At 41.9% G+C, this 24,395-nt stretch overlaps 1 protein-coding gene and 1 long non-coding RNA gene across 19 annotated transcripts in view, besides 2 other annotated features; one reads left to right on the top strand and one right to left on the bottom strand.

Moving 5' to 3' along the window:
* The window catches only part of LOC105375536 (uncharacterized), a 68,680-nt gene extending 46,012 nt beyond the window's left edge, over positions 1-22,668 (bottom strand). Inside the window, exons 1-3 of the long non-coding RNA XR_002956518.2 lie at positions 21,258-22,668; positions 20,571-20,689; positions 8,277-8,373 (exon numbers count right to left, since the gene is read on the bottom strand). This is a non-coding gene — a long non-coding RNA (uncharacterized LOC105375536). The remainder of the gene's footprint in view (positions 1-8,276; positions 8,374-20,570; positions 20,690-21,257) is intronic.
* Positions 53-458: a silencer, noted in NCBI's record as "fragment chr7:140647102-140647507 (GRCh37/hg19 assembly coordinates)". NCBI's record gives its function as "represses an EF-1alpha promoter that drives an FKBP-Casp9 reporter gene in an ReSE screen in HepG2 liver carcinoma cells {active_cell/tissue: HepG2}" and the evidence as "EXISTENCE:reporter gene assay evidence [ECO:0000049][PMID:32094911]".
* BRAF (B-Raf proto-oncogene, serine/threonine kinase) overlaps positions 22,831-24,395 on the top strand; it is a 211,602-nt gene continuing 210,037 nt past the window's right edge. For 15 of the 18 annotated variants that reach the window (NM_001378474.1, NM_001378470.1, NM_001378475.1 and 12 more), the window contains exon 1: positions 22,831-23,194. In NM_001378474.1, the coding sequence (NP_001365403.1) occupies positions 23,057-23,194 (138 nt within the window). In that variant the 5' untranslated portion in view covers positions 22,831-23,056. Of the gene's footprint in view, positions 23,195-23,491; positions 23,575-24,395 lie in introns of those variants that run through there. The other 3 variants (NM_001378472.1, XM_047420766.1, NM_001378473.1) reach the window with 1 other exon arrangement.
* Positions 22,939-23,008: a silencer, noted in NCBI's record as "silent region_18716". NCBI's record gives its function as "represses an Ori minimal core promoter by ATAC-STARR-seq in GM12878 lymphoblastoid cells {active_cell/tissue: GM12878}" and the evidence as "EXISTENCE:reporter gene assay evidence [ECO:0000049][PMID:35858748]".

Raw genomic sequence — 24,395 nt, 5'->3', positions numbered from 1 at the left:
TTCTTGAGATTTTACCTCTCTTTTGTAAGGCTGTAACAATGAAGAATGCCAGATTTCTTAAATTATAGCAGCTTGTAGTGTTGTTTGTAATAAAACTATAAACAGTTAATGAGGCTGGGCATGGTGGCTCACTCCTGTAATCCCAGCACTTTGGGAGGCTGAGTCAGGTGGATTACCTTAAGTCAGGAGTTTGAGACTAGCCTGGCCAACATGGTGAAACCCCGTCTCTACTAAAAATACAAAAATTAGCCAGGCATGGTGGTGTGCTGTAATCCCAGCTACTCGGGAGGCTGAGGCATAAGAATCACTTAAACCCGGGAGGCGGAGGTTGCAGTGAGCTGAGATTGCACCACTGCACTCCAGCCTAGGCAACAGAGGGAGACTCCATCTCAAAAAAACAAGCAAAAAAAAAGTTAATGAAATGGAATTATTGTAATGATACTTAAATTTCAGTATATCAGACTTTATTATTTTATAAATGATCATACATAATACTTTTTAATACTTTTAAATTAACAAAGAGACTACATAGAAACACAGAGAGAGAGAGAGGCTACGCACGCACACACACACACACCCTGAGCATTGCCTATGTGTGAATATGTGTGAATTACTCCTGGTTTCCATTTTCCCCATATTCTTGCTCCTTTCTGGTCAACAATGTTTTCAAACTTATTAGAAACTTTATGGTTTTATTATTTAGTTTAGAACAAAGGTATTAATAAATACAATCTACTTATCTGCTGATGATAAAGATTAATTTTAGAACATCCTTTGACTACAAAATAAGAATTGAACACTGTTCCACACAATACTCTTAGACAAGATAGCTTGATAACTGAGGAAACATTTTCTTTCTCAGTATAGGTTTGACTCCATTTTTCCCCCAAAGTAGTGTGCTTTTGGTGCATCACCTATGCTTATGTGAACACATCCATTTGCTAAAGGCATGGCATTTATTTGAAAGTTCTTATTTTGAGTTCCTAGTTGACAATGAAGACTGAATTAAACATAACTTATATTTATTTCTTGTCTTTCACCCCATTATTTTCTGTCTGGCATATAATTGCTTTCTTTGCATATTCTGTGGCTTTTTACAGAAGTGTCTTTGATATTTCTTATGATGTCCTCCATCATCAGAGACAATTCAGACATATATGATGCCTTGTAGCTTCAATTGTCCACTCTTAATAACATAAAACACATGTTCTTTGAAAATACAAATAATATTTTTAAACTCTTACCAGTCTAACTAAGGAGAAATAAAGAGAATAAACATATATAAAACTAAGAATGAGAAAGGAGACATACCAGAGATAAAGTGATTAAAAGAATTATAAGAGATACCACATATACACATATACTTTGGTGTCAATAAATTTGAAAACAGGAGGATAAAGAGATGATTTCCTATATAAACAAAACTCACCCAAGAAAGAGACTAAACATAAATAGAAGAATAACCGTTGATGAAATTGAAAAAGTGTTAAACTCTAACATTGCAAAAATCACCAGAGACAGATGGGTTCCCAGCTGAGTTTTATCTATTCTTTAAACAGCATAAAATCTCAAAGTGATTTATACTATTCCAGGCTATTCAAAAAAAGATAAAAAGCCCATCAATTTATTTTAAGAAGTCAGCAAACTGTAAATCTAAACCCAATAAAGACAATGCAAACAAAACAAAGCCAAACAAAACAGGAAACTGTAGCTCAGTCACATTTATGTGTATAGATGCACATTTCTAAGTTTATGAATATATATGCACGATTCCACACAATTACACTGAATTCAGAAATGTAATCAAGATTTTTTAAAGGTGGTTGACTAACAGAAAACCTGTCAATATAATCCAATATATCAACAGATTTAAGAGGAAAACTATATGATCACGTCAAGATACATGATATGTATGATCATGAAAATATAATTGATATAATTCAATAGCCATTCCTAACAAAAAATTCTACACAAATTAGCTATAGAAGAAAATTATTAACATAATAGACTATTTACCAAAACCCAACAGGAAATGTCCTAAATAACAAAATGCCAAAAATTGTTTTATTAAAATGAATAACTAGTTGATTTTAATAACTACAACACCATGCTATATCAGCAGTGTTATTACTTAACACTGTCTTGAACAGTGTAGTACCTTCAGTGAGAGGAAAAATGGTATAAATATAAGTGGCGTGAGCCGAGATCGCACCACTTCACTCCAGCCTGGGCAACAGAGCAAGACTCTGTATCAAAGAAAGAAAGAAAGAAAGAGAAAGCATTCATGTGCTTGGATGAGAAGACTACTATTAAAACGTGGGAGAGGAACTGAGGAGATGTAGATCAGAAGATACAAAGCGGTGGATATGCAGGATGAACAAGTTTCAAGATTTAATGTAGATGAAGACCCAAGTTAATAAAATTGGTCAGGCGCAGTGGCTCATGCCTGTAGTCCCAGCACGTTGGGAGGCCGAGGTGGGTGGATCATTTGAGGTCGGGAGTTCAAGACAAGCCTGGCCAACATGGTAAAACCCCGTCTCTACTAAAAATACAAAAAAAAAAAAAAAATTAGCCGGGTGTGGTGGCAGGCACCTGTAATCCCAATTACTCAGGAGGCTGAGGTAGGAGAATTGCTTGAACCTGGGAGGCTGAGGTTACAGTGAGCCGAGATTGTGCCACTGCACAACAGCCTGGGCGACAGAGTAAGACATCATCTCAAAAACACAAAAACAAATAACAAATAAAGTTAATAAAATTGCATTAGGGATGTTTGTTGAAAACAACAGAGTAGACTTTAGCTGCTCTTGTCACCAAAAAAGAAACTATGTGACATTATAGATGTTAATCTGCTTCACTTTAGTAACCATTTTACTGTCTATTTGTACCCTATAACATCATGTTTAAACCTGAAATATACACAATAACATCTATTTGTAAAAACTAGGTAAGACAATTTTCCCAAAATGATGTGTAAATTTAGTTACATTGCAATTAGTACTCGAATAGGCAGTGGGTGATCTGGATTAAATATCTTTAAGAGTTACATGGACAGGCCAGGCACAGTGGCTCATGCCTGTAATCCTAGCACTTTGGGAGGCCGAGATGGGTGGATCACTTGAGATCAGGATTCAAAAGCAGCTTGGCCAACATGGTGAAAACCCGTCTCTACTAAAAATACAAAAAAATTAGCTGAGTGTGGTAGCAGACACCCGTAATCCCAGCTACTCAGGAGGCTGAGGCAGGAGAGTCACTTGAACCTGGGAGGTGGAGGTTGCAGTGAGCTGAGATCACTCCACTGCACTCCAGCCTGGGTGACAGAGCGAGACTCTATCTCCAAAAAAAAAAAAAAAAAAAAAAAAAGCAAGAAAGAGTTACATGGACAAATAAATGACTGAGAATAGCAAGAAAAAAAGTGAGGGGAGGCTGGGCGCAGTGGCTCACGCCTATAATCCCAGCATTTTGGGAGGCCGAGGTGGGCGGATCACAAGGTCAGGAGTCGAGACCATCCTGGCTAACACGGTGAAACCCCATCTCTACTAAAAATACAAAAAGTTAGCCGGGCGTGGTGGCGGGTGGCTGTAGTCCCAGCTACTCGGCAGGCTGAGGCAGGAGAATGGCGTGAACCCAGGAGGCAGAGCTTGCAGTGAGCCGAGATCGCGCCACTGCACTCCAGCCTGGGCAACAGAGTGAGACTCCATCTCAAAAAAAAAAAGAAAAAAAAGTGAGGGGAGATTTGGCAGATAGTAGAACAAACTGAAAAATCACTGTTACCAAATCATTAAAGAACTGTAGAAGATTAGACAAACATCTTGATGGAATGGAATAAGGACCCAGAAAGAGAACTCAGTATATATACAAAAAGTAATATGTGATAAAGGTGGTAGTGCAAATCCTTGTGAAAAGATGAATTATTTAATAAATGGTGCTGGCACAACTATCTAAAAGAAAATAAACTGGGCCAGGCGCGGTGGCTCACGCCTGTAATCCCAGCACTTTGGGAGGCCAAGGTGGGCGGATCACGAGGTCAGGAGATCGAGACCATCCTGGCTAACACGGTGAAACCCCGTCTCTACTAAAAATACAAAAAATTAGCTGGGCTTAGTGGCGGGCGCCTGTATTCCCAGCTGCTCGGGAGGCTGAGGCAGGAGAATGGTGTGAACCTGGGAGGCGGAGCTTGCAGTGAGCCGAGATCGCGCCACTGCACTCCAGCCTGAGTGACAGAGCGAAATGCCGTCTCAAGCAAAACAAAACAAAACAAACAAAAAAACAAAAAACTCAGATATCTAGCTTATGCCAGACACAGAAATAAATTACAGATGGATAAAAAATTAAAAATCAATCAAACAAAATCTTTGAGAGGGAAAAATCTAGGAAAATATATACTTAGGTAGGAGAGACACAAACCCAGACATGACAAAAGAAAAAAATAAACGTATTAGACTATAAAAGTTTAAAACTTTTTTTTTTGATATTAAGTTTGTCTCTGTTGCCCAGGCTGGAGTGCAATGGCATGATCTCAGCTCACTGCAACCACCGCCTCCTGGGTTCAAGCAATTCTCCTGCCTCAGCCTCCCAAGTAGCTGGCATTACAGGCACCTGCTACCACGCCTGACTAATTTTTGTATTTTTAGTAGAGATGGGGTTTCACCATGTTGACCAGGCTGGTCTTGAACTTCTGACCTCAGGTGATCCACCTGCCTCCGCCTCCCAAAGTGCTGGGATTACAGGCGTGAGTCACCACGCAGGACCAAAACTTTAAAACTTTTATATGAATAAATGTGGAAGAGATACAGTAATCAAAATCAATAGATAATAAAGGCAGAGAAAATATTTATAATACATAGGAGAGGTAACTATTCCATAATGATACTGTACAAGGAGTTTTTACAAACTGATGCAAAAGAGAATAAAAGACTAGTAAGAAAGTCTTGAAATATATGAACAGACAATTCACAGAAGAGAAAATCTAATGGCTAATAAACATTTGAAAATACAGTAAATGGGTCAGGAGTGGTGGCTTACACCTGTAATCCCAGAACTTTGGGAGGCCAAGGTGGGTGGATCACCTGAGGTCGGGAGTTCAAGACCAGCCTGACCAACATGGAGAAACCCCATCTCTACTAAAAATACAAAATTAGCTAGGTGTGGTGCTACATGCCTGTAATCCCAGCTACTCAGGAGGCTGCGGCAGGAGAATCGCTAGAACCTGGGAGGCAAAGGTTGTGGTGATCCAAGATTGTGCCATTGCACTCCAGCCTGGGCAATAAGAGCGAGACTCCATCTCAAAAAAAAAAAATAAATAAAATAAATAAATAAATAAATAAATAAATATATATATATATATGTCAAAAATTTAAAAGAGTGATAACGCCTATTATTGCAAGACTATGGCGAGAAGGAGATTCTCATAAATTGTTGGTGGAAACAAGAAATATTTTAGCCTTTTTGTAAAACAATCTGGCAATATATATTCAAATTACATTTACTTGTATCTTTTCCCAAGCAATGACAAACCTGCTTTATATCCCTTAGGAGTAAAAGCACGGAGAAGATCACACATAGAAGGATGTTCTCTTTGGCTTTGTTCATAGTAGAAATTGATAAATAAATAAAATAGAGTTCTGCAAGTTGACTTTAAGAGTTATAAGATATTTTTGGTATTATTGAATGAGAAAAGCAAGATGTCCAATGTGATCAACTTGCCATCAAGTTGCCAATGAGTCTCCTCAGTAAATGGTGCCCTATCAGGGGCTCAACATTGGTCTTCCTAGCTGGCAGGTTAGACATTCAGTGACAGCAGCAGTTAGAACAGACTTGGTAAGTGGGAGGTCAGGTCACTGGGCCCATGCATAACCTCAGAATATTGTTTAGCCAAATATCTACGAACCCTGTAGACCAGTCAGGTTGACACATTAAAATTAACCATCACAAGTCCACCCCTTGTCAGGCTGGCAAATATACACATCTCCTTAAATCATATTTAATCTCCAAATAAAGACAGAACCAATGTCATAACTCCACCTAACATGACACAACTATCCTGCATACAACTGGAAACACATTAATCCCTTCCCCAGCAGAGGAGGTAAAATCCTTGAGTGACATTTACTCTTGTCCTTTGTATCCCACAACTTAAATACTATGATGTAAAATTAACACTACTTCAATACTATGATATAAAGCCAATACATCTTATGTTACATGATAAAGGAATAAAAGAGGGAAGAAACAAAGTTACTTATCATACACACATATTTATAACAAAATAAAGGAGATAAATGTATGACAATTACAGTCCTCGTTTTTGTAACTGGTCACACGATCATAGTTGGTATTGATAATCACCTCCTTCCATGACCCCTTTTGTTTTCCTTTTGCCTTCAGCAGGCACCTTGGCTGGCTGGGGTTCATTACCAGTGGGGTGACCCAAACCTTCATTCCTGAAGGGTCTGGGCTATTAATCCTGTCTGGATTGCGTTGTTGTAGTTTTCATTGACCTTAGTCACAGGGCATGATAATAATAAGATTGCCTGTATTTCTGATATACTCTCCCTTATGCCCAGTGTGGAGTAGTAGTCCAATTTCCCCCTTGGCAATCAGAATTAATTATTCCAGTCAACAGAGATACTCCCTTCTTAGTCTGTTGGTTCAGAGGCATGAGGAGCCCAGAATGTCTGGGCCACAGTCTTAAATTCCAGTGCAATGGAATCACTGTTGTGTCTCCTGATGGAAACATTTCTCCCTGTGGAACTAAAACCTCTAGGCAAGCAGAGCATAAGGTCATGGGAAGAGGTAGCAAAATTTTGCTAGTGGATTACTAGAGATAACAGTGAGTGGTGCCACTCCCATTTCCACCCACTACTTCCTAGATCCGTGAGTCCTGGCTAAGGTAGAAACGGTACCACGTATTGGATGCTGATTCAGAGCATATAAAACTTCCTGGAGAACCTTGCTTCAGCTCTGCCACCTAACTGGAGCTGTAACTGTGTCTTCAAAAGGCCACTCCACCATGCAGTCAAGCCAGCTGTTTCAGGGTGGTGGGGAACATGGTGAATTCCATGAACATGGGCCCATTTCTTTACCTCTGTTTTTCTGAAACGTTATTTCCTTGATCAAAAGCAACGCTGTATGGAATACCATGATGGTAGATGGGCATTCTATAAATTCACAGATGGTAGTGTTGGCAGAAGCACTGCATTCAGGGAGGGCAAATCTATATCTAGAATAAATGTCTGTTCCTGTAAGAACCAAATGCTGCCTCTTCCATATGTCCAATGGTAACCTGCTATCAGGTAGCTGGCTGATTACCCCAGTGAATAGGACCATATATGGCGTGTTCAGTGTTGGTCTCTGCTGCTGGCAGAATGTACACTCGGCAGTGGCTACAGCCAGGTTGGCCTTGGTAAATGGAAGTCCATGTTGCTGAGCCCATGCACAACCTCCATCCCTGTCACCATGGCCAGTTTGTTTATGAGCCCATTGGACAATAATGGGGTTGTTGGGGAAAGAGTTTCACTGGTGATATGGTTTGGCTGTATCCCCACCCAAATCTCATTTTGAACTATAATCCCCATAATCCCCACATGGCATGGGAGGGACCCAGTAGGAGGTAATTGAAACATGGGGACTGTTTCCTCCATGCTGTTCTCGTGATATTGAGTAAGTTCTCATGAGATCCGATGGTTTTATAAAGGGCTTCCCCCTTTGCTTAGCCCTCATTCTCCTGCTGCCCTGTGAAGAGGTGCCTTCTGCCACGACTGCAAGTCTCCTGAGGCCTCCCCAGCCATGTGGAACTGTGAGTCAATTAAACCTCTTTTCTTTATAAATTACCTAGTCTTGCATATTTCTTCACAGTAGTGAGAGAATGGACTAATACCGCTGGTATCCACACATGGGTTATTCTATCCACTTGATTATTAAAATCCTCCTCTGCTGACATCACCTTTTGGTTTGGTGAGCATTCACATGGGACACAAATAACTTCAGAAGTTTTTTGCTCAGGGATGTCCACCCACATATCTCTTCCCCAAATTTCCTTGTCACCAATTTTTAAATCATGTTCTTTCCAAGTCCCTGACCACCCAGCCAAATCACTGGCCACAGCTCAAGAATTGATACATAATTGCACATCTGGCCATCTCTCCTTACAAGCAAAGTGAACAACCAAGTGCACTGCTCAAAGTTCTGCCACCTGGGAAGATTTCCCTTCCTACAGTATTTCAGGGATGTCTCAGAAAGGGACTGTAATGTGGCAGAAGTACACTTTTGAGTCGTACCTGCGTAGAATGCAAAATCATCTGTAAACCAGGCCTGAGTCTTCTCTTCCTCTGTCAACTGATTGTAGAGAATGCGCCATGAGGCCACAGGTGCAGGCTGTAAGAGAGAAGGTAATTAGAAGTAGTGGGGACCATGGGCATTTGGGCCACTTCTTAAATAACTTAATTGTACCTTCAGGGCCTATGTACATATATCTCTATAAGATTGATCTATCTAGCTAGCTATCTACCTACCTACCTAGAGATAGAGGGAAACAAATGCAATTATAGAGGCTGACAAGTCCCAAGATCTGCAGTTGGCAAGGTGGAGACCCAAGAGAGCCAATGGTGTTTTTCCAGTCCAAGTCTGAAAGCCTGAGAACCAGGAGAGCCAATAGTGTAGGTATAGTTCAAAGCCTAGCAGGCTAAAGACCAGGAAAACCAATGTTTCACTTCAAGTGCAGAGGCAGGACAAAACTGATGCCCCAGCTCCAAGTAGTCAGGCAGGAGGAAACTCCCCCTTACTTGTAGGAGACTCAACCTTTTTGTTCTATTCAAGCCTTCAACTGATTGGACAAGACATACCCACATTATGCGGGCAATCTGCTTTACTGAGTCTACCAATTGAAATGATAATCTTGCCCAGAAACATCCTCACAGACACACCCAGAATAATGTTTGACTAAATTTCTGAGCACCCCGTGGCCCAGTCAAGTTGATACACAAAATTAACCATCACATGCCTTATCCATGTTGGATGCTCTCTGGTGGATAACTGTTTATTTTTTTGAGATGGAGTCTCACTCTGTTGCCCAGGCTGGAGTGCAGTGGCGCAATCTCGGCTCACTGCAACCTCCACCTCCTGGGTTCAAGCAATTCTCCTGCCTCAGACTACCGAGTAGCTGGGACTACAGGTGTGTACCACCATGCTCGGCTAATTTTTGTATTTTTAGTAGAGATGGGGTTTCCCCATGTTGGCCAGGCTGGTCTCCAACTCCTGACCTCAAGTGATCTGCCCACCTTGGCCTCCCAAAGTGCTGGGATTACAGGCATGAGCTACCACACCCGGCCTGATGTTAACATTTTGACATAGGACCTGCATATTTTTTGCTAACTCTCAAGTGTCTATTCACACACTTCTTCCCTAGACTTTATTTGCCTCCAATCTGTCAGTCTTTGACTTCTAGGCCCCTGATCACCGGCCACTGCCGTGGAATCTGCATATATTCTTATCTTGGGCAACTCTTCCTTCCACACAAGGTACCACTCACAGCTTGCCAATTGGGAAGAGTTTCCCTGCCCAGTATTGTTTAAGGGCATCTCTAAAGGTGAATATAATGCAGCCACATACATATTCAGTTTGCACCCATGTAACTCAACAGACACATCTGCAAACAAGGTTTGGGCTTTTCCCTCTTACATTGTTTGGCTGTGTCCCCACCTAAATCTCATCTTCAACTATAGCTCCCACAATTCCCACAAGTTGTGGGAGGGATGCAGTGGGAGATCATTGAATCATGGAGGTGGTTTCCCCCATACTGTTCTCATGGTAGTGAATAAGTCTCATGAGATCTGATGGTTTTATAAGGGGTTTCCCCTTTCACTGGGCTCTCCTTCTCTCTTGTCTGCCCCATGTAAGATGTGCCTTTTGCCTTCTGCCATGATGTGAGGTCTCCCCAGCCATGTGGAGCTGTAAGTCCATCAGACCTCTTTTTCTTTATAAATTACCCAGTCTCGGGGACGTCTTCACCAGCAGCATGAAAACGGACTAATACATCTTCCTTTAGCTGGCTGTATGGGAACTCTCCCCACAACACAGTCATAAGTGTGAGTTAGGGTAGGGGTACCTGTGCATCTGTGGCAGGGGACATCAGTCTAGGCTACCTTTCCCTGAAGCTTACTTGTGCCTTCTGCTCTGCTCACATTTGACCCCAAATGTACCATTTCAATTTTTTGATGGACTGCTCCTGGGCCCACCTGTCTTTATGACTTGGCAAGTCTGGCAAAATGCCTAATGGGCATTTCTGGACCCATCACCCCCTGGTTCCCTATGGTCAAATTTTCTCCCAGTAATGTGCCAGAAAATTTTTCTATAATTCTCTTCTTCAGATGGCATGTCTTCTCTCCAGAGCGGTCTACACTGATTCTCCCACTAGAGCTTGCCATAAGCTCTGCCCTGAACAGATTTAAATTAAATATGACCTTTTTGCAGATTTACCTCAAAACCCAGGTGTAAGTAGGAATGGAGAACAATCTGAATGATGGATATTACGCTATTCTGAAAATCACTCAATTTAACACAGGTTCATAGTCTTTGACCCACCTACAAGCCATCCCAGACCCCCATGCAAATGCATGCTGCCAGGCCTGTCTCATCAGTCCACCAAATGCACTTGAATTTGGAACACTGCTTATACTCCCACTGGCTCCTACTATAAGACAACCCAACAATCTCTGATAAGAGTGGTAAAAGCTAAGTAACGAGGACCCCCAGATGTTATCAGACCATATGAATAAAATGAGGATGTATTAACTCAAAACTCAAAATCATAATGGCTTGGTCCCTACAAGTTTGATAGCTTGAACCTCAGTGGCCCATGAAAAGCAGCCTGTAATTATTTCTGGGAGTCTCCAAAAGGCATGCTTCCCAAGACCAGGCAGACACATTGCCCAATTCCGGAATGCATGACCGACATGGTATTCTGGGTGAATATCACTCCCAGGGCCCAGCTGAGAGTCACAGGGAGTAAAATGTGGATGGAATGGTATAACATGGGCCCTGCACCATTCAGCTGTTCTCACGCCATTTCCCACTCAGGACCACCATGTTCTTTCTCTTCTACTTTGGTTGGCCCTGGCTATTGCCCACTGCCCTTGACACTGCTTGAGGGAGGATCACTGACACTAATGCTGACAGCACCCTTTGTGGGCTCCGCACTATCAGGCCAAGGTTGTAGCCCCCTGATACTTGCAGAGCCATTTGTTTGCACATTGCCAGAACAGGGCTGGGTCCTGTGTGGATATGGGGAGAAAGGCCTGCTCCCTCCATTCATGACACTTTGCTTCCCAGGTGCTCAAGCCCAAACCTCATGAGGTCTCTCACAGAGTGCCCTGTTGACTTCTCCTCTCCATTCATTTTTCATCTCTGGCAAGCTTCTCTCAGCACTAGCTCCCTACCAACCAGAGAGTCTGCCTTAGCCATAGAAGTAAGCAACTGTTTTCGTATATTCTGTCACAACACTTAGCACACAAACATCCCCACATGCCTTCTCCAACCTCCATCCAAAAAGACAAAGTAGCATGCATCTAAGTCAGAACACTTCATTTATGTGGTTATTTTGATTATGACTTTATTTTTTAAATTTTATTTTATTTTATTTTTTTTTGAGATGGAGTCTTGCTCTGTCACCCAGGCTGGAGTGCAGTGGTGTGATCTTGCTTCACTGCAACCTCCGCCTCCCGGGTTCAAGTGATTCTCCTGCCTCAGCCTCCCGAGTAGCTGAGACTACAGGTGCGCACCACCACACCCGGCTAATTTTTGTATTGTTAGTAGAGACAGGGTTTCACCATATTGGTCAGGCTGGTCTTAAACTCCTGACCTCGTGATCCACCCGCTTCGGCCCCTCAAAGTGCTGGGATTACAGGCGTCAGCCACCGTGCCCGGCCTATTTTTATTTTTTTGAGATGAGGTCTGTCATCCAGGCTAGAGTGCCGTGGTGCCATCACAGCTCACTGCAGCCTTAAACTCCTTGGCTCAAGCGATCCTCCTGCCTCAGCCTCCTGAGTAGCTGGGACTATAGGCACGTGCCACCAAGCCTAGCTAATTTTTAAATTTTTTCATACAATCAGGGATGATCTTGCTATATTGCTGAGGCTGGTCTCAAACTCCTGGGCTCAAGTGATTCTCCTGTGTCAGCCTCCTGAGTAGCCGGGACTGCAGGCACACACCACAGCACCCAGCCACAATGACTTTATTTTTTGAGGAAAAACAGGGTTCAGTGTTTGCTTATATCTAGACCCATTCTCAAAATAAAGAGTTGTAACTTTTAATTTTTAAAACTCTTTAGTTTACCAAGCATAGTTCATATTTCCAAAATGATTTTCCTAGGACCGATTTTCCCATGGAGAGTAATTAAATAAATCACACCCAAAGATGTGAAGTTGCCTGTACCTGAAAACATGACAATAATATAAACTTTCAGGGACAGAGAAAACAAAACTGGTTTCACATCTCCCATAACTTGAAGTTTCCAGCACCCAGCAAGGTCAAATTACAAGGACATATGCCTTGAGGAAAATTATAATGGTTTTGAAGTAATTGTTCCAGTTCCACATTAGCAAGAAAACTTTAATATTCAGTGTTCACAAATACTTTGTAACGGGCATGTCGGTTCAGCAAGGGCAATAAATGGGTACCTTCAGGCTTGGTAAAAATCAGCTAGTTAAGAAGATGGATGATTCCCACCTTGGTGGCTCAATTCTTAGCCATGTCCATTCTTGAAGCATAAGGCTTTTAAATTTCTTTATTGTGTCCATTTTGCCTTTAACTTGTTTATTTTTAGCTAGAGACTTCTATAAGTACTCTTCAGTATAGGGTTGGGAGTTTCAACCTTGATCTATATACTCAAAAACTTTTAATAGCATGAAGCTGCTGCCTGAATTTCTCAATATCCTATAAGCCAGCAGCAGTAAAATTCAGGTTCAGGTTGAGTCTCGCCTGGCTGGCTGCTGCCACCACAGCCCTGCTCCCACTGAGAAGTCTCCTGCTTATAAATTTTAAAGGCAGTTTTAGCCACATCTTCTCTTCAACATTTCAAAAATCTTTGGGCCTGGTCTCATCCAAAACAATCCACTGCACTTATGTCCAAAATGTATTATATAACATGAAATGTAAAACGATAAAATAGTCAATCTTCTCCTTAAAGTAACAGGGCTCCTCCTGGCTTCTGAATTTCCTAACCTCCAACTTCTTCTATTATTTTAGTCACTAATAACTTTTCCTAGAGAGTGAATGATTGTCCTGTACAAAATCAGGCATGACATGTTTATATTCATGAAAACAAATTCTTTTTTTTTTTTTTGAGATAGAGTCTTGCTCTGTCGCCCAGGCTACAGTGCAGTGGCCCGATCTCAGCTCACTGCAAACTCTGCCTCCCAGGTTCAAGCCATTCTCCTGCCTCAGTCTCCCGAGTAGCTGGGACTACAGGTGCCAACCACACCCAGCTAATTTTTTGTATTTTTAGTAGAGATGGGGTTTCACCATGTTGGCCAGGATGGTCTCAAACTCTTAACCTACACTGATCCTCCCATCTCGGCCTCCCAAAGTGCTGGGATTACAGACTTGAGCCACCACACCCAGCCTATATTTATGAAGAGAAATTCTTATATGAAAAGTGCCATCTACAAAACCACACTAATTCTGAATAATGTAAGAGAGATACATATATATATATATATATATATATATATATATATATATATATATGCATCTCTGAGTAATTAGAATATTTGCCTCCCAAGCCATTAGGTTACTTTAATGTATAAAATATATAAACTGTGATTGACATATATACTAGCAATCTAAATCAGATATAGCTATAAAATGTTAAATTAATATTTGGCCTATATTATCTAATAATGAGCTATTAAAAGCATAAGGAAATGATTAAGGCAGATGCTGAAACCAGAACTTCAAACCCAGGAGCAACTGAGATGGCCAGAGAAGTATCAAAGTAATAAATAAAAGAGTTTTAAAAGGGAAATATTCATATTTTCCTTCAGTAGAGGACACCTAATGTGGAAAGATGTGAAAGTGAAGACATATACATTTACCAAAGTGCTGTTGAAAAACTTCTGAAGTAGCTGAACTCAATTACTGAAAATGATTACAGGGATTCAATGAAAGAGATTTATGTTATATCTGCAACAGAGAATAAAGGATAGAATTAGTATTTGTCTTTAAATAATAAAGTTAAAAGGTGGTAACTAACTGAGATTTTTAAAAATTACAGGTTGAATAGCTGATGAAGCAGAAAGTGGGAATTGTAGAGCTCAGCTTGGGACTTGCCAGTTTGGCAGTGTTTGTGATATATTCAGGTGCAGACATCTAGTAAGTAGTTGGATACAACAGGTTGAGGCCAGGGAAAACATTATTGTAAATAAAACCAATGGAATGGGTAAGAGGGTAGAAGGAGTTCTGCAACAGACCAGATGTTTGTGTTCCCCCCCAACAAGTTCATACGTTAACGTCATAACCTCCAATATCAGGAGGTAAGGGCTTTGGGAGGGTCATGAGGATGAAGCCCTCATGAATGGGATTAGTGACCTTATAAAAAGGGGCCCCAGAGAGCTCTCATGTCCTCTTTCTGCCACATGAGAACACAACGAGAAGACAGCAGAGTGTAACACAGAAGAGGGCCCTCACCAGAACCTGGCTATGCAGGCACCAGGATCTCAGACTTTAGCCTCAAGAACTCTGAGAGATCATTTCTGTTGTTTTAAAGCCACCCAGCCTGTAGTACTTTGCCATAGCAGCCTGAACTGACTGAGACAAGTTCTGTAAGAAAAGAAATAGGCAAAGAATGGAGCCCCGTGTTATACCAACAGTTAAACTGCAGATGGTCAAAACTGACCCCATTAAGGAAACCGAGAAAGAACTGGCCTTCAAGAAAAGAAGCAGGAGTATGTAGCATCATGACATCTAAAGCAACAGATATTTTCAAGAAAAAGGAAACAGCCAAAAGTATCAAATGCAAAAAGAGGAGCAACACTTCATATTGTGAGGCAGAAAAGGAGGTAAGAATGAACAAAAATGCATAGAAGTTTATAGTTGTAATTTGAAGCTACAGAGTTCATATCTTACAGCCTATATTTTCTCTGTGGAGTGGGAAGCAAGATCTCATAAAAACATATCTATACCTAAGGATCAAACACAAGAGCAAAGCACAGATTTGAAAATCGGCATCAGAGATATTAAACACACAAAAACAGGCCAGGCACAGTGGCTCACGCCTGTAATCCCAGCATTTTGGGAGGCTGAAGCAGGCTGATCACACGGTCAGGAGTTCAAGACCAGCCTGACCAACATGGTGAAACCCCATCTCTACTCAAAACATGAAAATCAGCCAGACATGGTGGCGTGCGCCTGTAATCCCAGCTACTCAGGAGGCTGAGGCAGGAGAATTGCTTGAACCCGGGAGGCAGAGGTTGCAGTAAGCTGAGATCGTGCCACTGCACTCCAGCCTTGGCGACAGAGGGAGACTCCGTCTCAAAACAAAAACAAAAACAAAAAACACACACAGAAAGAGAAGTTCTGGTATCTGTAAAAGTGGGGGTACTATTAGATATGTACTCTTTAACAGTGTACTGTATTTAAAGCTCTCCTACAGTAATGATAAATGTTAAAACAAACAAAAAAAATCTAAGACTGTCATTGTTCAGATTATATAAACAGCCTAGCACAGTAGCTGGCACACAGCACACAGTAGCTATGCGATAAATATTTGTTGAATAATTGAGGAAATAAAAAAATGGAACTAGGGGACACCATAAAAATATTTTAAGAAGAAACCAGGAAAGGTTTTGCTGTAAATGTTTATAATTAAAAAAGCGTATTCCATATAAACACTTAGAATAATATACCTATATTTAATATATGGGAAAATTCCTACTTGATAGGTAGAGATACATTACAAGGTCTTATTAAAACTTGATCAAAACCCATAAAAAATGTTGTCTTGGCTGGGCATGGTGGCTCACACCTGTAATCCCAGCACTTTGGGAGGCTGAGGCAGGCGGATCACCTGAGGTCGGGAGTTCAAGACCAGCCTGACCAACATGGAGAAACCCCATCGCTACTAAAAATACAAAATTAGCCTGGTGTGGTGGTGCATGCCTGTAATCCCAGCTACTTGGGAGGCTGAGGCAGGAGAATCGCTTGAACCTGGGAGGCAGAGGTTGCAGTTAGCTGAGATAGCACCATTGCACTCCAGCCTGGGCAACAAGAGTGAAACTCCGTCTCAAAAAAAAAAAAAATATTGTCTTGCAGACTCTTATTGTCTATGAATCATGATGCAACACGGTTTAATTCCAAAGTATCAGAAAACAAAAAGCATTTACAAAGTAGATTTATCAGGAATAGAGTTTAGGCAGATAATGCAAGAAAAAGGTAACAATACAATAGTAACAGTAATAGATACCTAACACGTTGTTAATTGTCTGTAAGAAACATTCCTTTAGAAACTCAATACAACATTTTAATACCATAAATGTATATTATTTTTATATTACAAAAGAAAAATTTCTTTCAGATTTTTTTGAGAAAATTTCAAATATACAGAAAACTTAAAACATAGTATTACAGGGCCAGATGTAGTGGCTCGTGCCTATAATCCTAGCACATTAGGAGGCTGAGGCAGGGGGATTGCTTGAGGCCAGGAGTTTAAGACAAGCTAGGGCAACACAGTGAAAGCCTGTCTCTACAAAACATTTTACAAAATTTAAAAAAGAATAGCATTACAAACAATTACTATATCCTTCATCTAGATTCTCCAGTCGTTTTTCTTCCCCAATTGTTAATATTTATCACATTTTCTTTATTTCTCTGTCTCTTTTTCTGAACTACTTAAAAATTGAAGACATGATATTTCATCCCTAAACACTACTTCCTCATAAAATAAAGAACATTAATTAAATTAATTACCATTAACTCAAAATGATAACTTGGTATACAGCCCATATTTAAATTTCCCCAATTGTCCCAAAAATATCCTTGTAGTTTATTTTCTTATTCAGGATTCAGTTGTTTCATGCATTGTATCTGGTTCTTACATCTCCTTAATCTCTTTTAATCTAGAATAATCCCCTCTGCTTGACTTTTTTGTTCCTCATAATACTGAATTTTTAAAGAGTTAGAGTGATTTGTCTTGTCCCACATTCTGGATTTGACTATTTCCTTATTATATTCAGGTTAAGCATCTTTTTGGCCCAAATACCTGCACTACATAGGTGATGCTTTGCACAAGCACTTACGTAATGTTCAACTGTATCCCTGTTTGTGATGCTAAATTTGTTAGCTTGAGGTGACTGCCACATCTCTCCATTTTAAAGGTAGCATCTCCCTTTGTAATTGATAAGGTCTGTGTGATGGTACTATGAAGCCATGGGACTGTCCTATACCTCAAAAATCTTTCACCCAATAATACTTTTAGCAACTCTTGATGGTTCTGATCTGGAGTAGTTTTTATATTGGCGGTCGCAAAATAGTCATTTTTCTAAATCCGTCATTCATTTTTTCTATAGTAACTAGAATTCATCCTTAAAAGAAACTTCACTTCTTACCTTTCTTTCAACACTTTTCTTTCACACGATCTCTTTCTCTCTCTCATTACTATGGACTTACGGATTTAAAATAATTAAATATATTGCAACCCATTCCTGTCATTATTATTTCTTATCTTTCTATTGTCCCATTTTGGACCAATGGGGGTCTTGTAGTTGGCTCCTTTTGACATGACCTAGTAGTCTTTAATAAAGTCCTTGCTCTCAAGTATACCAAGGCTCATCATATGCAAGCTCAATTTATAAATTTCCTGCCCCAGATCTGGCATCAGCCATTTCTCAAAGGAGCCCTGGTTACTTTTAGTGGAGAATGGCATTTCAAAATCAAGATGCAGGTACCAGGTATACTTATTGTTACTCCTAAGCACCCCTTTCAATGGGCAGAGCTAAGAATACATGAATACACACACACACACACACTCCTATGTTCATATTGCTACCTCAAATTCAAATACAACACCAAAGCATTCTTCTTCAATTTCCCTTGTTCTATATTTGTTTCTCACTTTTTCCACAGTAAAAACCCTGATTCCCAACTTTAACATATGTACTCATTCAGTTCTATTCCACAATAAACACAAAATTGTTTCAGAATTACAAAACCAATATTGCTATCAATAACAAACCTTCTAAATAAAGTTAAAGATTTACTTGTAGTTTGTTTTGTCCAAATTTGGTTGCAAGAAACCAAATTTGCAAGGACCAAATTTGGAACGGTATTCAATTTATAGGTCTATGTTTTAAGAGGAACACTGAAAAGAGTATACAGCAAGAAGAGAAAATGCTCGGGAGAGAAAATGCTAAAGCAAACAGTTTCCTTCAAACACTTAAAAGCAGTTACACAGAATAAGAAATAGGCTTATCCTGTGTTCCTCTAGAAGGCAAAACTCAGACCAGAATATAGATGTCATAAAGAGGAGGATTTCAATTCAACTTCAGAAACTGTTAGAGTTGGATGTACTATATTAGTAAGGTCCCCATCATTAAAGTATTTAGACAGAGTCTGGAATTCCACAAAGGGGTTTCTGAGCATTTCTCAGTGGGAGAGTTGTGCTGAATCAGCTCTATAATTCTATTTTCTGTTCGCACCCAAATAGCTTCTGGAAGCAGCCCTCCATTAAACAATACAGGAGGTGTTGTTATTCATAATAATGACCTTGATTCATATAGAAAATATTGAACTATGATCAGTTATACATCATTGAATCTGGTTGGCACTGCAGAAGCTTCCTAGAGGCTGCTTGCTTGTTTTCCAGTAGTTGATCATATCAGTGTGGGATCAGACCTGGCTGGGCAGGCCTGGCTGGCTGGTGGGACTCTCCAGCATCCATTAAAATAGAATGCAAGATTCGAGATAGAAATGCTGGTAGGAAATAAACTTGTGTCCGGGGAAGAAAGGGTCAGACCTGGCAGTAAAGCTCTGAATAGTGTCTCAGTCATCAACTGAAGCAATGCTTGAGCAGTACCTCTCACCTAGATTTGTTTTCCAACTTCCTGTGAATACATGAATGCCTTAGGGCGAAAGGGGATTTTGAAGAAAACCTAAAAGAGCTGTGTTGATTAAAATGTCTCTAAGACTTTAGAATGCAAGATAATGCTGCTTTGATGCCCATATGGCACATTACAACACAAAAGGGAGGTGTTCAGTTTTGGCTCAGACTACACACCAGCTTAGCTCATTATGGGCTATGGGCTGCAGGGACACTGTTTTGTGTAGAGGGTTTCAGCACATCAACACTGCCTATGGCAGCACTGGGGGTTTGGGGGAGGTGCTCAGAAGACAGGCTGTGTCCAATGGCAAAGGACTTGTATCTATTTATGCATGCAGTGGAGGCCTCAGAAGCTGAAAAAAGAAGGTAAGGGCTTGTTCATTAGCATACTGTATTAGTCCATTTTCACACTGCTGATAAAGACATACCCGAGACTGGGCAATTTATAAAAGAGGTTTAATTAGACTTACAGTTCCACATGGCTGTGGCTGGGGAAGCCTCACAATCATGGCAGAAGGCAAGGAGGAGCAAGTCAACGTATTACACGGATGGTAGCAGGCAAAGGGAGAGTTTGTGCAGGGAAACTCCCGTTTTTAAAACCATCAGATCTTGTGAGACTCATTCACTATCATGAGAACAGTGCAGGGAAGATCTACTCCCATAATTCAATCAGCTCCCATGGGGTCCCTCCCACAACACATGGGAATTCAAGATGAGATTTGAGTGGGGACACAGCCAAATACTGAGATGTGTCTTGGTGATTACTAGTAATAAAGAGGAGAGAAAGTTGACTGGTGTAGAACGCTTTGGAAGAAGGTTTGTGTGCGGCTGCAGATAGCCAGTTTATTATTTTAAACATGACGTGGTGGTTTTAAAACATGGCTGTAAATTCTTTGACACTTCATTGAGAAGTGGGCTCAATATCCCCTCTCCTTGAATTTGAGCCCGACTTACTGACTTGCTCATAATATAAAATGATGCAGCAGAAGTCATGCTGTGTGGCTTTGGAGGCTAGATCATAAAATGCAATTCAGCTTTAACCTTGTTTACTGAAACACTAGCATTTGAAGCCCTGAGCTGCTTCGTAAGAAGTCTGACTACTCTGAGGCAGCCATGCTAGGAGGAAGCTCAGGCCACATGAAGAGTAGATTTAGGTATTCTGGCTGACTGCCCTATCTGAGGTCCCAGCTTCAACCACCAGCCATGTCAGAAAATATGCCTCCAAAGGATTTCAGTCTTCAACCATTGAGACACCCCCAGGCACTGAGTCTTCCCAGCTGAAGCCCCAGACATCATGGAGCAGAGATAAGCCATCTTTGCTATGCCTTGTCTGAATTCTGACTGAGAGGGTAATTTTATATTTTTCAAAGGGTGAAAGTATAATGTTTGATCCTCACAATGATAGTTTGGCAGGTTGGGCTAGCATTATTATAACCTTCATTTTATAGATTAAAAAACAAAACAACAAACAGGGATTTAAGCTTACCTGCTTTGAGATTGTATAGCTAAGGTGTGGAGTGCTGACGCTAAAATCCTGATCTTTGGACTCCAAAGCTTATGCTTTCTCTCGTTTCTCATCTGGATACTGTAGGACTTTAGAATGGCCTAAGGAAGTAAAACAGGATATATCCAGAATTTTAAGGCAAGGTCAGAAAATGTCAAATGAGTAGAACGCTAAGAAGAATCAATATTAAATGGATGAGACCAGTCATCCTGTGGAGAAATAATCATGGAAGATCTGAACTACAGACTGATACTGACAAATAAGGCTAGAATTCAAAATGGAACCAATGTGAGGATAAAAGCCTTTAAAACTTTTAATGTTATAAGGAAGTGTTATAATGATATAACATTTTTAGCAGCTAATTTTTTAAAAATGAAATAGGACAGTTAGAGAATTAACAAAAATCTTGCCAGTTGTGTTTCTGATGAAAGGGTGATGAAAGGGTGATGAAAGGGGAAAAGGTGCCATGACTGGCTAATGGTGCTATTTCAGTCTGCTTCTAAGTATGTCCTTATAGTAAAGGGTGCTTCAGATTAGTTTAGCTTGATGACATCATCCCTTGTGATCATTTACTCTACATTTGCCAAGCCACTTTTTGATTTAAATTTATTTCCTCATAGAAACTTTCCTACTTGGAGGAGAATGTACAATGAAGTTAACAAAGCATACCATGTTCATGTTTTTTTTTTTTTGGAGACAGAGTCTGGCTCTGTTGCCCAGGCTGGAGTTCAGTGGTGCAATCTCGGCTCACTGCAACCTCTGCCTCCCAGGTTCAAATGATTCTCCTGCCTCAGGCTCCTGAGTAGCTGGGATTACAAGTGTGCACCACCACACCAGGCTAATTTTTTGTACTTTTAATAGAGATGAGGTTTCACTACGTTGGCCAGGCTGGTCTCAAACTCCTGGCCTCAGGTGATCCATCCGCCTCAGACTCCCAAAGTGTTGGGATTACAGGCGTGAGCCACTGCGCCCGGCCTACAATGTTCATCTTATAGGTTATATTTTTTCAATGCAGAAGAATGTTAGTATTCTCATTCATCAAGCAGCCTCACACAGCATCCTTTACCTGAGAGTAAGCATCAGCTCCCAGGCTTACGGTGACCCTAATCAATATGAAGACACCCTGTTTCAGAAGTCAGTAGGACACCTTTCTATTTCTTGAATCATCCAAAATACAGTAAGGAGGTCGCTGGTGACTTCCCCCATGATGGGAAGTACTAAAAGGCAGAATCCACTTAGTTTTTCATGACTTCATGTTTAGGTTACTTTGGTGATTCACTCCAGGCCATTGGGAGCCCACAGTAATTGTTTCTCATTCCCGTTTCTCTCTTCCTTAAACTTTTCTTTTCCAATTATTTATTCTTTATTAGATCCATGTATTTTTAATAATGAATTGAATTTCATTCTGTAATTGGGCTTCTCAAAGATAATTGACCTCTTCTCTCCCAATTGTTTTCATGCGTATTTTGCAGAGAATGCTTGGAATATTCTGTTCATGAAAGGCACAAAGTACATAAAATATTTTGAGTGATTTTCTTCAAAATAAAAATGATTAGTTTTGATGCTTCAGATGTCTAGAATGCTATGTGCCTTGTACAGGCCCTACGGCATGGAAAGTGCTCAACTGATATTTGTTAAATGAATGAATCTGGAAAACGAAAAATACACGAAATATTTTATTCCTCAACAATGAAGAAAAAGCTTTCAGACTTCCATTTAGACTCGTTTTAACTGGCTGAATTCTTCAATGAAAAGAAAACACGCGTCGCACTGCTAATTTAGCTGTTCCTAAATATATTTCCATCAAATTCTGCTTGGCTGTTTCAACCTTGGGGTTGAAGTTCTTATTTTGATGACACAGAGACGTTCATTGCAGTGGAAATAGCAAGTAGTATTGGCTTCCCCGCCTTCCTCCCTCTAGGATTTCAACTTCTCCTCCTCGAACACCAGCCCTGCTCTTCTAGTAAATCCCACATTACAGAACAGGCTGAGGACGGAGGAGACAAGAGGAAAGTAGGAAACCGGAGCCATGGAAACGGCGGAGCGGAGGCAAAGTGTGAGAGCGCGGGTGGTTAGAAGGGAAAAAACCCTCCCCGGACGACGGCGCGAAGGCGCGCCTCAGATTACGTCACGCACCGGGGTGACGTCACGACCGTGACACGCGGGTGACGCCGTTGCCGCGGCGACTTCTCGTCGTCTCCGCCCCCTTCCCCCGCTCCCCCCCGCACCCCCGCCTAGCGTCCTTCCCCCAATCCCCTCAGGCTCGGCTGCGCCCGGGGCCGCGGGCCGGTACCTGAGGTGGCCCAGGCGCCCTCCGCCCGCGGCGCCGCCCGGGCCGCTCCTCCCCGCGCCCCCCGCGCCCCCCGCTCCTCCGCCTCCGCCTCCGCCTCCGCCTCCCCCAGCTCTCCGCCTCCCTTCCCCCTCCCCGCCCGACAGCGGCCGCTCGGGCCCCGGCTCTCGGTTATAAGATGGCGGCGCTGAGCGGTGGCGGTGGTGGCGGCGCGGAGCCGGGCCAGGCTCTGTTCAACGGGGACATGGAGCCCGAGGCCGGCGCCGGCGCCGGCGCCGCGGCCTCTTCGGCTGCGGACCCTGCCATTCCGGAGGAGGTGAGTGCTGGCGCCACCCTGCCGCCCTCCCGACTCCGGGCTCGGCGGCTGGCTGGTGTTTATTTTGGAAAGAGGCGGCGGTGGGGGCTTGATGCCCTCAGCCACCTTCTCGGGCCAGCTCCGCGGGCTGGGAGGTGGGCATCGCCCCCGTGTCCCTCTCCGTCATGCAGCGCCTTCCTACGTAAACACACACAATGGCCCGGGGGGTTTCCCTGGCCCCCACCCCAGATGTGGGGATTGGGGCAGCGGTGGTTGAGCGGGAGGCTATCAATAGGGGGCGAAACTCAGGGTTGGTCCGAGAAGGTCACGATTGGCTGAAGTATCCAGCTCTGCATCTCTGTGGGGTGGGGGCGGCGGCGGCCTCGACGTGGAGGATATAGGTTAGTTGCTGGGGCTGAGACAACAGCCCGAGTTACTGTCGCGTGTAATTCTTACATGGTCGTGGGGATGATGGGGCTCATCATTTCCTCTCTCCTCTCCCGGACTGCCCCCCTTCTCAGTCCGCTGCCCTTTTTCACTTTTCTATTTGGGGATTTCTCTTCACCTGTTTTACCCAGCAAATTATTTTGATTTAGTCTTTACTTTTTCAATCCTAAATCGCAGTTTCCGATGCCTTTTCTGGTCTCTGGTCCTCTGTTCCTAATGTTTGTCAGCGCTCTGTCGCTGATTGGTAACCCCCATTCTATTCCCATCTACCGCCCGCTCATTTTCCAGTTGTCGGACCTGCCTGCCTTCTAACCCCAGCTCCCACTTAAGAGCATTTTTGCACTTCTCTTACCCTGGTCCTCTTGAGGCTCTGTACTTGATCTCACCACTCCCTAACATTGTTGTCTGTTGTTATCTTCACAAATCCTCCTGGACACTTTGGAGCTACTTGTTTTCTGAGCCCAGAAGCTGTCAAGATTCCATCAGGTTTCACTTGGCTCTTTTCGCGCTTGCACTACTGGCACTTTTTGGCTAGTCGTCCATTGTGCATTCACACCTCTTTATTCCTACCCATTTTTATAGGTCTGATTGATTTCTTAGTGTTGTCCTCCTTTTTGTCCTATTTTTTTCCTTTTCCTTTTTCCTCTCCAGTCCTTGCTTCTCTCAGCCTGTTTTTGCATTAGTCAGCCTCTTAGCACTGTGTCAAATTATTTACGTTTTTTTATTACATAAAATTTATTACAAATATTTGGTATTTTATTACAGAAAATAATAC

The sequence above is a fragment of the Homo sapiens genome, chromosome 7 (genome assembly GCF_000001405.40).
Source record: "Homo sapiens chromosome 7, GRCh38.p14 Primary Assembly".
In the NCBI taxonomy this organism is placed as follows: Eukaryota; Metazoa; Chordata; class Mammalia; order Primates; family Hominidae; genus Homo; species Homo sapiens.
This window is presented reverse-complemented; position numbering and strand designations above follow the sequence as displayed.